We start from the raw sequence: 16,646 nt of genomic DNA on the forward strand, positions 1-16,646 counted from the left end.
TCTGTCACCCAGGCTGGAGTGCAGTGGCGCAATCTCGGCTCACTGCAACCTCTGCCTCCTGAGTTCAAGCAATTCTCCCGCCTCAGCCTCCTGAGTAGCTGGGATTACAAGTACCTGTCACCGTGCCTGGCTGTTTTTTGTATTTTTAATAGAGATGGGGTTTCACCATGTCGGCCAGGCTGGTCTCGAACTACTGACCTTAAGTGATCCACCTGCCTGGGCCTCCCAAAGTGCAGGGATTACAGGTGTGAGCCACAGCACCCAGCCTCTAAGAAAGTGTCTCACTCTGTCGCCAAGGCTGGAGTGCAGTGGTACTCACTGTAACCCCAAACTTCTGGGCTCAAGTGATTAACCTGCCTCAGGCTCCCAAGTAACTGGGACTACAGATGCACACCACCACACCCGGCTAATTTTAAAATTTTGTGTAGAGATGGGGGGTCGCTATGTAGCCCAGTCTGGTGTTGAACTCCTGGGTTCAAGCAATCTTCCTGCCTCAGCCTCCCAAGGGGCTAGGGTTATGGGCATGTGCCACCATGCCCAGCCAAACTCTTGCTTTTCCATACTGAAAAGTCCTCCTCAATTGTAGGAAAACAAACTTATTGTCCAGGACTGCTCTCTATCAAAACAGGTATCTTTAAACAGAAGAGAATGAAGTTCTTAGAAGTCTTTGTTCCTTCAACTGCAAAGAAGGATGGTGACTTTTGGCACACTTAACACTTTAGGATTTACATGCCCTTTATGAAATGAGAATTGATGGTGATATTTGATTCTGATTCTCTTGGAGTAAATATAATAATTTGGAAACGTCAAGCTAACTGATGGCTAATGAAGGAAATCAATTCCATGAGACTCTATTAGACTACAAATTGCTGCTGTCCTCGTTTAAAAAATTTCTTGGTGAGTCAACTTCCAAAGGCAACAGTGTTCTGAAGCACTTGGTTTCAGCAATCCAAAGCAACAGACCACAATTTATCAAAGGGAGGAAAAACTCTGCCCTTTCTCCAGGCATAAAATGGAGGTAGCCTGGTGCAGCAGAAACGGTATGCATCGGCTTTGCAGTCAGAATTAGATTAAAACTCATGTCTAGGCCAGGCACGGTGGCTCACACCTGTAATCTCAGCACGATGGGAGGCCAAGGTGGGTGGATCATTTCAGGTTAGGAGTTTGAGACCAGCCTGGCCAACATGGCTACTAAAAATACAAAAATTAGCCAGGCGTGGTGGCGCACACCTGTAATCCCAGCTACTCAGGAGGCTGAGGCACAAGATTCACTTGAAACCTGGGAGATGGAGATTGCAGTGAGCCGAGATGGAGCCACTGCATTCCAGCCTGGGTGACAGAGCAGGACTCTGTCTTAAAAAAAAAAAAAAAAAAAAAAAAAAAAGAGGTTTTACAGACTAAAGCCACAAACTGAAAACCACTGATTATTAAAAGGGTCCGACCATTTCAGAGGACAAGATCCAATTTCTATTCAAATTAGATATTGGCCAGGCACGGTCGCTCACGCCTGTAATCCCAGCACTTTGGGAGGCCGAGGCGGGCAGATCACCTGAGGTCTGAGGTCGGGAGTTTGAGACCAGCCTGACCAACAAGGAGAAACCCCATCTCTACTAAAAACACAAAAAATTAGCCAGGTGTTGTGGCGCATGCTTGTAATCCCAGCTACTCAGAAGACTAAGGCAGGAGAATCGCTTGAACCCGGGAGGTAGAGGTTGCAGTGAGCCAAGATTGCGCCATTGCACTCCAGCCTGAGCAACAAGAGCAAAACTCTGTCTCAAAAACCATAAAATTATACATGAACACTGCTGCCAAAGCTGGTTTGTTGTTTTGCTTTTTAGATTGGGGTTGGCGGGGGGGCCGGTCTCTCTCCATCACCCCAGCTGGAGCACAGTGGCGTTGCAGCCTCAAACTCCTGGGCTCAAGCAATTCTCCTGCCTCAGCCTCCTGAGTAAATGGTACCACAGGCACAAGCCACCATGCTCAGCTAAGTTTTTCATTTTCTGTAGGGATGGGGTCTCACTCTGTTGCCCCGGCTGGTCTCGAACCCCTGGGCTCAAGTGATGCACCGGCCCTGGCCTCTCAAAGTGCTAAGATTACAAGGCGTGAGCCACCATGCTTGGCCCAACAGTTTCTGAGCCATCCTTGTCTAATACTCACTACACGTTACCTATCGGAGACTCTTGTTCACACGCTCAGCAATAGGGGTGTTGCTCAGGAAGTCTTCTCTTTTAAATGAGAACATTCTTTGAATGTCATGGTGGATTGTAAAATTAAAAATTAATTAATTCGGCCAGGCGCAGTGGCTCATACCTGTAATCCCAGTACTTTGGGAGGCCAAGGCAGGCAGATCGCCTGAGGTCAAGAGTTCAAGACCAGCCTGGCCAACATGGTGATACCCTGTCTCTACTAAAACACAAAAATTGGCCAGGCGCAGTGGCCCACACCTGTAATCCTAGCACTTTGGGAGGCTGAAGCAGGTGGATCACCTGAGGTCAAGAGTTCGAGACCAGCCTGGCCAACATGGTGAAACCTCGTCTCTACTAAAAATACAAAAATTAGCTGGGCATGGTGGCAGGCACCTGTAATCCCAGCTACTCAGGAGGCTGAGGCAGGAGAATTGCTTCAACCCAGGAGGCAGAGTTTGCAGTGAGCTGAGATTATGCCACTGCACTCCAACATGGGCGAAAAGCAAGACTCCATCTCAAAAACAAAGAAAAAAATCAATTGATTAATTAAATTTAATTAAATGGAAACAGTCTCACTTTCCCACACACTAAAATGGCCCACACTGGGTACTACTAGGTACGTCACCTAATCTTTCTGGGGCTCACACTCCTCACCTGCAAAATGACAGGGCAGAGGAGAGGGCTATTTTGTCAGGCCAAGTGTGTTGCTTCCTTAGGCCAGTTTTCTAATTTAATAATAATGGTAATCAACATTTATCAACTGCTTAACATATACCGACCACTACGCTAGGTGTTCCAAACTGATATTGTCATTTAATCCTCACAGCTAGTCTACAAGGTAGTATGCAGAAAAGAGTTGGCACAGCGGGCATGAGGCTACTACTATCCTTGCGAGGCCTGCTTGCAAGGGTGGCTCTTGGCTGCTATCTAGAACGTGGATTTTAGGAGGGTTCCACTGCTCCTTAACTAGTAAGAGAGCCTCCCTGTGCCTCAACTGTATGTACAAACGACGTAGTTTACGCTGAGTGCCTACTTTCCTTCTGAAGGTCTGGAATTTTGGTACCTGTTAAGGCAGACGGTGCCTACATGACCAGCCCTAAATAGAAATTGTGGGTACTGAGTCCCTAATGAACTTCCTTGGTACACAATGTCTCTCACACATTGTTCCAGTTACACACGAAAGGAATTAAGCATATACTGTGTGCGTCTACAGTGAGGGGACTCTGGGAAGCTTCGGCCTGGTTTCCTTCTGACCTCATGCCATTTGCCTTTTCCCTTTGATTCTGCATTGTGTCCTTTTGCTGTAATATGTAATGACTGCAAATATGACTGTGAAGCCTCCTTATAAGTCACTGAGCCTGGCATGGCCTGGGGAACCCCCAACACAAGTAGGCACTACTATCCTTGTTTTATGAATGAAGGAAGTCAGTCGGGCGCAGAGGCTCACACCTGTAATCCCAGCACCTTGGGATGCCAAGGTCGGTGGATCACCTGAGGTCAGGAGTTCAAGACCAGCCTGGCCAACATGGCGATACCTCGTCTCTACTAAAAATACAAAAATTAGCCAGGCATGGCAGCACACACCTGTAATTCCAGCTACTCGGGAGGCTGAGACAGGAGAATCGCTTGAACCCAGGAGTTGGAGAATGCAGTGAGCCTATATCGCGCCACTGCACTCCAGCCTGGGAGACAGCAATACTCTGTCTCAAAAAACAACAAAAAAAAACAAGGCTGGGCACAGTGGCTTATGCCTGTAATTCCAGCACTTTGGGAGGCCAAGACGGGTGGATCACCTAAGGTCAGGAGTTTGAGACTAGCCTGGCCAACATGGTAAAACCCCGTCTCTACTAAAAATACAAAAAATTAGCCGGACATGATGGCAGGCGCCTGTAATCCCAGCTACTTGGGAGGCTGAGGCAGGAGAATTGCTTGAACCTGGGAGGTGGAGGATGCACTGAGCCGAGATCATGCCACTGCACTCCAGTCTGGGCAACAAGAGTGAAACTCCGTCTCAAAAAAAAAAAAAGTAAAAAAAAGAAAAAAAAATTTAAAAAAGAAAACTGAAGCTTAGAAAGGAAGTAACTTGCCCAAGATCACATGGAAGACAGGTGGCATAACCTAAATCTTAACACAGTCTGGCACGAAATCCTTAACGTCTTTGTTCTTCTCCCATTCATCACCACATCTTTATATTAAATTTTCTAGAAAAAAAAAATAGGCCAGGTGCAGTGGCTCATGCCTGTGATCACAGCACTTTGGGAGGCTAAGGTGGGAGGATCACTTAAACTCAGGAGTTTGACACCAGCCTGGGCAACACAGTGAGACCCCCATCTCGATGTTAAAATACACATATATAAATTTATTTAAAAAAGAAAAAATATTTCACAGTATACATATTAATAGTCACTTACACCAAAAAGTCCTATTCTGCCCCTCCATCTCTATAGTTTTTCAAAATGAACATTGTATGAAACTAAAAAAGTAGGAACCGAAGCTGGATTGCTCCAGAAAAACACACAGATTATTAATTACTTATAATTTTGCTCCTAGCCAAATAATTTGAGTTGTGCTTTTTTATTTTAGTTTTTATTAGAGTAAAACACAGTCCTCAATCTTTATCTTTGTGGCAAAGCTGTTGCAATGCTGAGACTAATAAATCACCAACCATTATTAGGTCAGAAGAGAGTATACTTTCTGCTGAGATGATTCATTTTCAATTTCAAGATAAAAGAAAATATTGAGGAATTTCTTTATGAATCTAGGATACGAACGTTTTTCTTTTTCTTTTCTTTTTTTTTTTTTTTCTTTTGAGACGCAGCCTTACCCTGTCGCCCAGGCTGGAGTCCAAGGGCGCAATCTTGGCTCCCTGAACCTCCACCTTTTGGGTTCGAGCGATTCTCCTGCCTCAGCCTCCTGAGTAGCTGGGACTACAGGTGCCCACCACCACACCTGGCTAATTTTCTGTATTTTTAGTAGAGACAGGGTTTCACTGTGTTAGCCAGGATGGTCTCGATCTTCTGACCTTGTGATCCGCCCACCTTGGCCTCCCAAAGTGCTGGGATTACAGGTGTGAGCGACCAAGCCCGGCCTAAACATTTTTCTTAAGAAGACTTAAAAAGAATTTGGGAGGCCATGGTAGGTGGATCATTTGAGCCCAGGAGTTCGAGACCAGCCTGGCCAACATGGCTCTATAAAAAATACAAACATTAGCCCGGCCTGGTGGTGTGTGCCTGCATTTCCAACTACTTAAGAGGCCAAGGCAGGAGGATCATTTGAGCCCAGGAGGCAGAGGTTGCACTGATTCAAAATCACGGCACTCCAGCCTGGGCGACATTGCGAGACCCTGTCTGAAAACAAAAACAACAAGACTGAAAAAGCATAATCCATAAATTTAACTGCATTAAAATTAAAGTTCTGTTCATCAAAAGACAGCACATAGCTGGGAGTGGTAACTCACAAATACAGACACAGTTACTTGGGAGGCAGAACCAGGAGGATCATTTGAGACCAGGAGTTCAAGGAGGCAGTGCACCATGATCGTGACTGTGAATAGGCACTCCAGCCACAGTAACAGCGAGATCGCATCTCAAAAAAAAAATTTTAATTTAAATTAAAAAAAAATTTTTAATACCATAAAAAGAATGAAAAGGCAAGCTACAACTTGGGAGAATGGATTTACAATATATATAACCATACAGAACTGGAATCCAGAAAAATTTTTACACTCTTCTTAATCTATAAGAAAGAGACAATGCAGCCGGGCGCGGTGGCTCGCGTCTGTAATCCCAGCACTTTGGGAGGCCGAGGCGGGCAGATCACGATGTCAGGAGATCGAGACCATCCTGACTAACACGGTGAAACTCCATCTCTACCAAAACTACAAAAAAATAGCAGGGTGTGGTGGCGGGCGCATGTAGTCCCAGCCACTCGGGAAGCTAAGGCAGGAGAATGGCGTGAACCCGGGAGGCGGAGCTTGCAGTGAGCTGAGATCGTGCCACTGCACTCCAGCGTAGATAACAGAGCAAGATTCTGTCTCAAAAAAGAAAAATAAATAAATCAATAAATAAAAATTGGCCTTGATACTTATCTACTTATAGCAGCTTTCTTCAGTCACTAAAAACTGGAAAAAAACTAAATGTCCATAAACAGGTGAATGAATACACAAATTGCAGTCTATATACTGGAACACTACTCAGCAAGAAGAAGGAATGCACTAACAGATAGGCTCAACAACAAGAATGAATCTCAAAAGCACTAGGCTAAGCAAAAGACGCCAGGTAGGGTGGTGGCTCATGCCTGTAATCCCAAAACTTTGGGAGGCCAAGGTGGGAGGGCTGTGTGAGGCCAGGAGTTCAAGACCAGCCTGGGCATCAACAGCCAGATTCCACCCCCACAAAAAATTTTTAAAAATTACCCAGGACTGGCCAGGCACAGTGGCTCACGCCTGTAATCCCAGCACTTTGGGAGGCCAAGGTGGGTGGATCGTGAGGTCAGGAGTTCAAGACCAGCCTGGCAAAGATGGTTAGCCAGGCGTGGTGATGGGCTCCTGTAATCCCAGCTACTCAGGAGGCTGAGGCAGAGAATCGCTTGAACTCAGGAGGCAGAGGTTACGGTGAGCCGAGATCGTGCGACTGCACTCCAGCCTGGTGACAGAGTGAGACTCTGTCTCAAAAAAAAAAAAAAAAAAAAAAAGAGCCAGGCCTGGTGGCATATGCCTGTCGACTCAGTTATTCAGGAGGCTGAGATGGGAGGACACTTGAGCCCAGGAGCTGGAGGCTGCACTCAGCAAGGACTGTGCAACTGCACTCCAGCCTGGGCAACTGAGAAAGATTCTGTCCCTTCAAAAAACAAAACAAAACAAAACAAAAATGAAAGCCAGACTCAAAAGGCTACACATCATATCACATGATTCCATTTGTTATAGAAATCCCATCAGCAGCTGCCAGAGATAAGGGATGGAGATTGAGTACACAGGGGGACCAAGGAACTGTTTGGAGTGATGGAAACGTTCTACATCATGATTACGGCAGTGGTTACATGACTACATCCATTTGTCAAAACCCAACAAACTCTACAATTATACCTGCATAAACCTGGATTTTTTTTTTTTAATCACTCTGGCTATATGGAAGATAAAATGGAAGAAGGAAATGCTACTGTGAGGGAAGAGTTGTCTCCAAGTATGTTCAGCTGCTTTGGACATACAGAGCTTGATTTTCTCGCAGATCCTGAAGTGGAGACACGAAGTAGGCAGCCACCGTGGGTCTGCAGTTCTTCTCTTCAACACAGGAGTCATCCACTGCAGCACTTTTGCAAATATCATTAGGTTAGCCTTGTAACTGCACATTCCAGCATCTTACCTTTCCTTGAGAGTGAAAACTAATCTCCACACTTCTCAGTACTCTGAACTGTACTTTCCAATATCATAGCCATTAGCCACAGTGGCTATTTAAATGGCAATTAAAATGCCATAAAATTGAAAATACATCTGTCGCACTAGCCCCATTTCCATCATCACTGGAAGTTCTACAAAACAGTGATGCTCTGGGCCAGGCGCGGTGGCAGCATTTTGGGAGGCCAAGGCGGGCAGATCACGAGATCAGGAGATTGAGACAATCCTGGCTAACACAGTGAAACCCCATCTCTACTAAAAAATACAAAAAAATTAGCCAGGCATGGTGGCGGGCGCCTGTAGTCCCAGCTACTCGGGAGGCTGAGGCAGGAGAATGGCATGAACCCGGGAGGCGGAGCTTACAGTGAGCCAAGATCGAGCCACTGCACTCCAGCCTGGGCGACAGAGTGAGACTCTGTCTCAAAACAAAACAAAACAAAACAAAACAAACAAACAAAAAAACAGTGTTGCTCTGGAAGATTACCTGCAAGTTGTGTGTTTTTTTTGTTTTTTTCAGATGGAGTCTCGCTCTTGTCACCCAGGCTGGAGTGCAGTGGCACGATCTAGGCTCACTGCAACCTCCACCTCCTGGGTTCAAGCGATTCTTCTGCCTCAGCCACCCGAGTAGCTGGGATTACAGGCACCCACCACCACACCCGGCTAATTTTTGTATTTTTAGTACAGATGGGGTTTCACCATATTGGCCAGGCTGGTCTCGAACTCCCAACCTCAAGATCCGCCTGCCTCAGCCTCCCAAAGTGCTGGGATTACAGGTGTGAGTCACCACACCCGGCCTTTTTTTTTTTTTTTTTTTTTTTTCTTTGAGACAGAGCTTCACCTTGTCACCCAAGCTGGAGTGCAATGGCGTGATCTCAGCTCACCACAACCTCCAACTCCTGGGCTCAAGCAATTCTCCTCCCTCAGCCTCCCGAGTAGCTGGGATGACAGGCATGCACCACCACGCCCAGCTAATTTTTATTGTATTTTTAGTATTTTTAGTAGAAACGGGCTTTCACCATGTTAGCCAGGCTGGTCTCGACTCCTGACACAGGTGATCCACCTGCCTCGGCCTCCCAAAGTGCTGGAGTTATACGCGTGAGCCACCATGCCTGGCCTAAGTTTTCTTATAGTGTTAACACTCATTGATGCCAGGAAGCACTTCACAGTAGTTGCCAAGCAGCACAGGCTCTTGATTATTAATTAGTGACAGTAATAGCCCAAAGCATTGTTTCATAAAATAAATGGCACTTTTATAAACTATAAAAAAGACTTTCACACTTCAGACTGGGGTTTTCCTCTGAAAAATCTAAGTCTTTTTTTTTTTTTTTTTTGAGACAGAGTTTCGCTCTTGCCCAGGCTGTAGTGCAACGGTGCGATTTGGCTCGCTGCAACCTCCGCCTCCCAGGTTCAAGTGACTCTCCTGCCTCAGCCTCCCGAGTAGGTGGAATTACAGGCACACGCCACCATGCCTGGCTAATTTTTGTATTTTTAGTAGAGATGGGGTTTCACCATGTTGGCCAGGCTGGTCTCAAACTCCTGACCTCAGGTGATCTACCTGCCTTGGCCTCCTAAAGTGCTAGGATTACAGGCGTTAGCCTACGCCCAGCCAAAAAATCTAAAAGTTTTAATTTTAAAAAATTATTTTCAGACCAGGTGCAATGGCTCACATCTGTAATCCAGCGCTTTGGGAGGCTGAGGCAGGCATATCACTTCAGGTAAGGAGTTCAAGACCAGCCTGGCCAACATGACGAAACCCCATCTCTACTAAAATACAAAAATTAGCCCGGTGTGGTGGGGCACGCCTGTAATCCCAGCTACTCAGGAGGCAGGAGAAGCACTTGAACCCAGGAGGTGGAGGTGACAGCGAGCTGAGATTGCGCCACTGCACTCCAGCCTGGGCAACAGAGCGAGACTCCATCTCAAAAATAAAAAAATATATATTTTTAGGCCAAGGTGGGAGGATCACTTCAGCTCAGGAGTTCAAGACCAGCCTGAACAAGAACGTAAAGCCCCATCTCTGCAAAAAAAAACACACAAAAAGGCCGGGTGCGGTGGCTCACGCCTGTAATCCCAGCACTTTGGGAGGCTGAGGCGGGCGGATCACAAGGTCAGGAGATCGAGACCATCCTGGCTAACACGGTGAAACCCTGTCTCTACTAAAAAAAATATATATATACAAAAAATTAGCCAGGCGTGGTGGTGGGCGCCTGTAGTCCCAGCTACTTGGGAGGTTGAGGCAGGAGAATGCCGTGAACCTGGGAGGCAGAGTTTGCAGTGAGCAGAGATCATGCCACTGCACTCCAGCCTGGGCGACAGAGAGAGACTCTGTCTCAAAAAAAAAACAAAAAAAACACACACACACAAAATTGTGGGGCTTGGTGGTGTGCACCTGTATTCACAGCTACTCAGGAGACTGAGGTGGGAAGATCACTTGATACCATAAGGTTGAGGCTGAGGTGAGCCAAGATTGCACCACTGCATTCCAGCCTGGGTGACAGAGCAAGACCCTGTCTTACACATATATACATATATATTTTTTGTATTTTTTTAGACAATACATATACATTTACATATATATATATATATATATATATATATATATATATATATATATATATTTTTTTTTTTTTTAGATGGAGTCTCACTCTGTCGCCCAGGCTGGAGTACAGTGGTGAGATCTTGGCTCACTGCAACCTCTGCCTCCCAGGTTCAAGCTATTCTCCTGCCTTAGCCTCCCAAGTAGCTGGGATTACAGGTGCATGCCACTATGGTCGGCTAATTTTTGTATCTTTAGTAGAGATAGGGTTTCACCATGTTGGCCAGGCTGGTCTCAAACTCCTGACCTCAGGTGATCCGCCTACCTCGGCCTCCCAAAGTGGTGGGATTACAGGCGTGAGCCACCACGCCTGGCCATATATGTATATTTTTTAGGCCAGGCACGGTGGCTCACGCCTGTAATCCCAGCACTTTGGGAAGCTGCAGCAGGAAAATCACTTGAACCTCGGAGTTCAAGACCACCTGGGCAAGATACAGAGACTCCTATCCCTATTTAAAAAAAAAATGCAAAATGAAAGAAATTTAAATATTTTAATTAAAAATTTTTTAATAAAATTATTATTTAAAAGATGTGGAGTGTTTTGAAAAGTTTATTGCTCCTATTCATAAAGGCATTATGAAGAGTTTTAACTTTGTCTTTCTACATTAACAAAATAGTTAATAAAATGGGTTCCTGCCCCTTCCAATCATCACCAGAATCACCCACAAAACCATGCTAATTCACATAAAGAGGAAGCCTTGTAAATAGGAAAATCAGAACAAAAAAACAGAAACTCCCACAAGGCAGTAAAATTACCCAATTTACTTTGTTCTCTTACTGTGACAACTGCTGTTGAGGTTTAATTATTTGCTACGACTTCATAGCATCCTAATATATGTGTCAGCACCCTCTCTGCAGGTCTCTTCAATTACATCTCTATAAACAGGCAGGGGTGAGACTACCTGGGTTTCTGTGAAAATTAAAGGGTTTGCAGATTAGTAGCTTCCAAATTAGCAGGCTTAGAGGCATGATACATGATTCTATTCTGTCCTAGTTGCCAGTAAAAGCAATTAACAAGAAAGAAAACAGGAATATGGTTCCTTTTCCAAGGAGTCTGGCGCCTCCCTAGGGAGAGCAGGTCTCACGGAGACTCTGTGCTGACAGTACTTGGGGGTCCTTAATCCAAATGCTACTGCTCAAATTCTCAGTAGAGGCTACTGATCAGAGGGCACCACAGAGCAAAATGGTGGGTAGCTCCTCCACTCACTCATTCTCCGGCAAAAGACAGGATGGGGTTTTGGAAAGAAGAAACCACATCACCCATTCATACTTATCCAGATCTCCCTCAGTATGAATCACCTGTGCATGGTATAGTGTATACCTGAAGGGAGCTCAGTAAATCCTTGTTGAATAAATGAGTGAATAAAAGTGTGGCACACAGAAGGTATTTGATAAATATTAGTTGAATAAATGAAAAGAATGGCCAGGCACAGTCGCTCACACCTGTAATCCCAATATTTTGGGAGGCCAAAGTGGGAGAATCGCCTGAGGCCAGGGGTTCAAGACCAGCCTGGGCAACACAAAGAGACTCTGTCTCTACAAAAAATAATAGGCCAGGTGTAGTGGCTCACACCTGTAATCCCAGCACTTTAGGAGGCCAAGGCAGATGGATCACTTGAGGCCAGGAGTTCAAGACCAGCCTGGCCAACAGAGCGAAACCCCGTCTCTACAAAAAATACAAAACTTAGCCAGGCATGGTGGCACGTGCCTGTAATCCCAGCTACTCGGGAGGCTGAGGCACAAGAATCGTTTGAACCTGGGAGGCAGAGGTTGCAGTGAACCAAGATCATGCCACTACACTACAGTCTGGGTCATAGAGTGAGACTCTGTCTCAAAAAAAAAGGTAAATAAATTTAAAATTGAAGAGAATCACCAAGACACTGTCCTAGGTGCTGGGGAAGAGGGGATGTATATGACCGGTTCAGAGCTACCCACTATGAGTAAAGTAGTCCAATGAGCTAAACAAGGGCTCTGGGGTAGGATCCAGCATCCAAATCCCAATGCTGTGTGTGCCACACATCCTCAACATACAACCACATAAAATCTTCACTCGAGGCTGTGCTCAGTGAATCACACCTGTAATCCCAACACTTTGGGACGCTGAGGCAGGGGGTTCGCTTGAGCCCAGGAGTTCCATACCAGCCTGGACAACATAGGGAGACCCCGTCTCTACAAAAAAAAATGAAAAATTTAGTCGGGCGTGTTGGCATGCGCCTGTAGTCTCAGCTACTGGGGAGGCTGAGGTGGGAGGATAGCTTGAGCCCAGGAGGTCGAAGCTGAACTGAGCGGTGATTCACGCCTCTGCACTCAAGCCTGGGTGACAGAGCCAGACCCTGTCTCAAATGAAGTAAAATAGGCCAGGCACGGTGGCCCACGCCTGTAATCCCAGCACTTTGGGAGGCTGAGGTGGGTGGATCACCTGAGGTCAGGAGTTCAAGACCAGCCTGACCAACAAGGTGAAACCCCGTCTCTACTAAAAATACAAAAATTAGCCGGGCGTGGTGGTGCGCACCTGTAATCCCAGCTACTTGGGAGGCTGAGGCAGGAGAATTGCTTGAATCCCGGAGGCGGAGGTTGCAGTGAGCCAAGATGGCACCACTGCACTCCAGCCTGGGCAACAGAGTGACTCTCCATCTCAAAAAAAATAAATTAAATTAAATTAAATAGAAAATTAAAAAATAAAATCTTTAAGCCAATCTTGTAAGTACGACCATCTCCCTTCTACAGGTGAGAAAACTGACGTGTACGGAGTGATGACAGGGTAGGGGCTGCGGGATTCGAACTCGGGCAACACGTGCAGTGTCACTCCTATCCACTACACGGTATTTTCCAGTATGATGGCATTAAGAACCACTTAACCGCGTAGACGCTGCAACAGGCACTTTGCAAACAGTGTTTCATCGAATTCACCCCAACAGGGTTACGTCCACGCAGCTGAGACTTAGAAAAGTCCCGCGACTTGCCTTAAGTCGCCACACGCGGCTAGGGCCTCGGGAAGCCGTCACGCCCTCGCTCCGTACCCTGATTGTGGGAAGCCTCCCCTCAGCACTCACGATGCGCAGTCTCTGCCTCAGTGTCACAAGGCGGACCCCACTCCCCTACCCGCGTAGGGAGCCCCGAAACTCCGTCCATGCTCGCCCCGATTGCCCCCGATGGTCGTCTTCCCTCCCCCGACGGGGCCTAAGAGGTCGGCTAAGCCCCGCCCACCTCCTCAGTACGGGGCCTAGGGTCTCCCCGTAGCCCCCCGGGACGGAAGCAGCCGCGTGGGGGAGGGGAAGCGGGGAGGACGCATGCCCAGAGGGCTCCACTCGGCCTCTAGCTCACCTGGGAGTCACGGAACTCTACAACCACGTTTTCGCTGCTCCATCGCGCCGCCATCTCCCCCGCCCGGCCGCCGCGGCCCCAGGACGGCGCCCTCCCACCCCGCCGTCCCCAGTATCCCGGGACCGTGCGCCCCACACAGCCAGAGAATCAGCCCCGACACGCCCCGTGCCCTGGTTGCTCCTGAGCTCAAGCCATTGGTTGACCCAAGCATAGGCTCCGCCCCTTCTTCCTGGGTCCTCCAATTGCTACACCGCGCCTGCAACAAACAGGCACGCCCTCGCTCACTTCCGTCACTTGGTTTGAGTCACCCACGCTCCTCGCGATTGCGGGCACACCCCCTGCCGCGAGCTCTGCCGGGAGTTGTAGTCCAAGCTCGAGCAAGCGTGGGTGACCTGGGAAGGGCTCGCAGGTTTGGGTTTGGGTGAGGTGAGGTGCCTGTTGTCCTGACTAGCTCCTCGCTGGAGTCCCCAGCATTCGTCCAGACCCAGTCTCAAATCAAAATCAACGTTCGGGGCGGGTGCGGTGACTCACGCCTGTAATCCTAGCGCTTTGGGAGGCCGAAGTCAGGAGTTCGAGACCAGCCTAAACAACATAGTGAAACCCCGTCTCTACTAAAAATACAAAAATTAGCCGGGTGGCGGGCGCCTGTAATCCCAGCTACTTGGGAGGCTGGGGCAGGAGAATCGCTTGAACCCGGGAGGCGGAGATTGCAGTGAGCCGAGATCACGCCATTATACTCCAGCCTGGGTGACAAGAGCGAGACTCCGTCTCGGAAAAAAAAAGAAAAAAGAAAAATCAAAGCTCGTGCAAACCGAAGATACCTCTTCTCCTGATGCCTATCCCATCGAGATATTTAAAAGTCTGAATGTGCAATTTATTGTTTCATACAATACAGCAGCGCCTCCCGTAACAATGAAGGTAGACTTAAATGTGAGAATCCAGCTGTTTTCTTGATCTGTAGTCCAATGCTCTACCTGTGAGCTATACCCCCTCCTGCAATCCAGCTGCTTTCTTTCCTTTTCTTTTTTTTTTTTTTTTTTTTTTTTTGAGACAGAGTCTTGCTCAGTCGCCCAGGCTGGAGTGCAGTGGCGCGATCTCGGCTCACTGCAAGATCCGCCTCCTGGCTTCACGCCATTCTCTTGACTCAGCCTCCGGAGTAGCTGGGACTACAGGCGCCCGCCACTACGCCCGGCTAATTTTTTTGTATTTTTAGTAGAGACGGGGTTTCACCGTTTTAGCCAGGATGGTCTCGATCTTCTGACCTCGTGATCTGCCCGTCTCGGCCTCCCAAAGTGCTGGGATTACAGGCGTGAGCCACCGCGCCCGGCCGCTGTTTTCTGATAAACCAAACATTAAAACAGATTTGCCAGAATTTTTTGTTGTTTTTTTTTTTTTTTGAAAATATTGTTCTTTTTCATTTTAAAATGTATTCATGTGAAGGGCCTTAATGTTTAAATGAAATAATGAATATATTTTTTAAATTCTGTATACTACATATAAAAGTTTTTGGGGGCCGGACGCAGTGGCTCATGCCTGTAATCCCAGCACTTTGGGAGGCTGACGTGGACGGATGGCTTGAGCCCAGAAGGAGGCTGCAGTAAGCTAGGATCACATTACTGTACTCCAGCCTGGGCGACAGAGCAAGACCTTGTCAAAAAAAAAAAAAAAGTTTTTTTGGGATTTTCAGTAATTTTTAACAGCAGTGTAAAGGGATTCCAAGATCAAAAAGTTTGAGAACCACTGTACTAACATGGTGGGTGGTGATTAAGTTTCCTTTTCAGTCCCACACTCTTAAATGTTGATTTAACTGGTTTAGCTTCAGTTTCCCTATAGAAGGGAAAAATGGCTTACCTCATTGGATTGTTGTAAGGAACTAAGCACAGGGCCTGGGATGTAGAAAAGCTCAACTATAAACTATTAATTCAGTTCTAGAAGCCAGGAAATCAATAAAAATAAAATAAAATAAACTGTTATTGTTGTTGTTAATATTATCACTATTTGTATGTGCAAGTCATTGTATGAATAGAGGTAAGAAAGTGTGGTCTCTTCCCTCCTGGAGTATTGGCTATAAGGGGGAAGACAGACTTGTTGACAGATTACGGTGACTAACTTGTTGCCTGGACCGTTTCATGTTTTATTTTTATTTTTTTGGAGAAAGGGTCTCGTTCTGTCACTGAGGCTGGAGTGCAGTGGTGTGAGCATAGCTCACCACAGCCTCCAACTCCTGGGCCCAAGCAATCCTCCTGCCTCAGCCTCCCAAGTAACTGGGACTACAGGCATGTGCTACTATGCCCAGCTATTTTTTTTTTTTTTTTTTTTTACTTTTTGTAGAGATGGTCTCGTTGTGTTGCCCAGGGTGGTTTCAAAGTAGTGGCTTCAAGCAAGTGATCCTCCGGCCTCAGCCTCTGGATTAGCTGGGACCATAGGTGTGAGCCACCATGCCTGATCCCTTTTCATATTCTAGCACTGCATCACCAAAAAGTCTTGCATCCCAAGAAACCCATAAGTTCCAGGCAAACTGGGACAACTGGTTACTCTACAACAGGAATGTGCTTGGCAGAATGACTTGTATATTATAATAGATTTGCAAGCAATATGGCAGGAGAGAAAAGCCTAAATAGGCGACCCGAAATGGCATCTTGAAATCTTGAAGAATATGACATCTGAGCTTTGTTTTGTTTTGTTTTGTTTTGTTTTGTTTTGTTTTGAGACGGAGTCTCCTTCTGTCGCCCAGGCTGGAGTGCAGTGGTGGGTGGATCACTGCAAGATCCGCCTCCCGGGTTCACGCCATTCTCCTGCCTCAGCTCCCAAGTAGCTGGGACTACAGGCGCACGCTGCCACATCCGGCTAATTTTTTGTATTTTTAGTAGAGATGGGGTTTTACCGTGTTAGCCAGGATGGTCTTGATCTCCTGACCTCGTGATCTGCCCACCTCGGCCTCCCAAAGTGCTGGGATTACAGGCGTGAGCCACTGCATCCGGCCCGACATCTGAGCTTTTCAGTATAATGTTAAGATATTGATACAGTACACTATGAAAAAAAAAAAAACACTTCACCATTAAGAGTGTGAGCAAAGGCTGGACGTGTTTGCTCACACCTGTTATTTGACAGAATCATTTAAGTCCAGGAGTTCGAGACCAGCCTGGAC

At 46.9% G+C, this 16,646-nt stretch overlaps 1 protein-coding gene across 10 annotated transcripts in view, besides 3 other annotated features; it reads right to left on the reverse strand.

The window, feature by feature from the left end:
* The window catches only part of WDR59 (WD repeat domain 59), a 113,762-nt gene extending 100,104 nt beyond the window's left edge, over nt 1-13,658 (reverse strand). For all 10 annotated transcript variants that reach the window (XR_007064915.1, XM_047434642.1, XM_047434640.1 and 7 more), the window contains exon 1: nt 13,499-13,658. Coding sequence is in view for 6 of the 10 variants with exons in the window: in XM_047434639.1 (XP_047290595.1) it covers nt 13,499-13,552 (54 nt within the window). In the remaining 4 variants the exon portion in view is untranslated. The remainder of the gene's footprint in view (nt 1-13,498) is intronic.
* Nucleotides 13,404-13,713: a silencer, noted in NCBI's record as "silent region_7704". NCBI's record gives its function as "represses an Ori minimal core promoter by ATAC-STARR-seq in GM12878 lymphoblastoid cells {active_cell/tissue: GM12878}" and the evidence as "EXISTENCE:reporter gene assay evidence [ECO:0000049][PMID:35858748]".
* Nucleotides 14,044-14,103: an enhancer, noted in NCBI's record as "active region_11112". NCBI's record gives its function as "activates an Ori minimal core promoter by ATAC-STARR-seq in GM12878 lymphoblastoid cells {active_cell/tissue: GM12878}" and the evidence as "EXISTENCE:reporter gene assay evidence [ECO:0000049][PMID:35858748]".
* Nucleotides 14,749-14,949: a silencer, noted in NCBI's record as "fragment chr16:75020112-75020312 (GRCh37/hg19 assembly coordinates)". NCBI's record gives its function as "represses an EF-1alpha promoter that drives an FKBP-Casp9 reporter gene in an ReSE screen in K562 erythroleukemia cells {active_cell/tissue: K562}" and the evidence as "EXISTENCE:reporter gene assay evidence [ECO:0000049][PMID:32094911]".

This window comes from Homo sapiens, chromosome 16, assembly GCF_000001405.40.
Source record: "Homo sapiens chromosome 16, GRCh38.p14 Primary Assembly".
In the NCBI taxonomy this organism is placed as follows: Eukaryota; Metazoa; Chordata; class Mammalia; order Primates; family Hominidae; genus Homo; species Homo sapiens.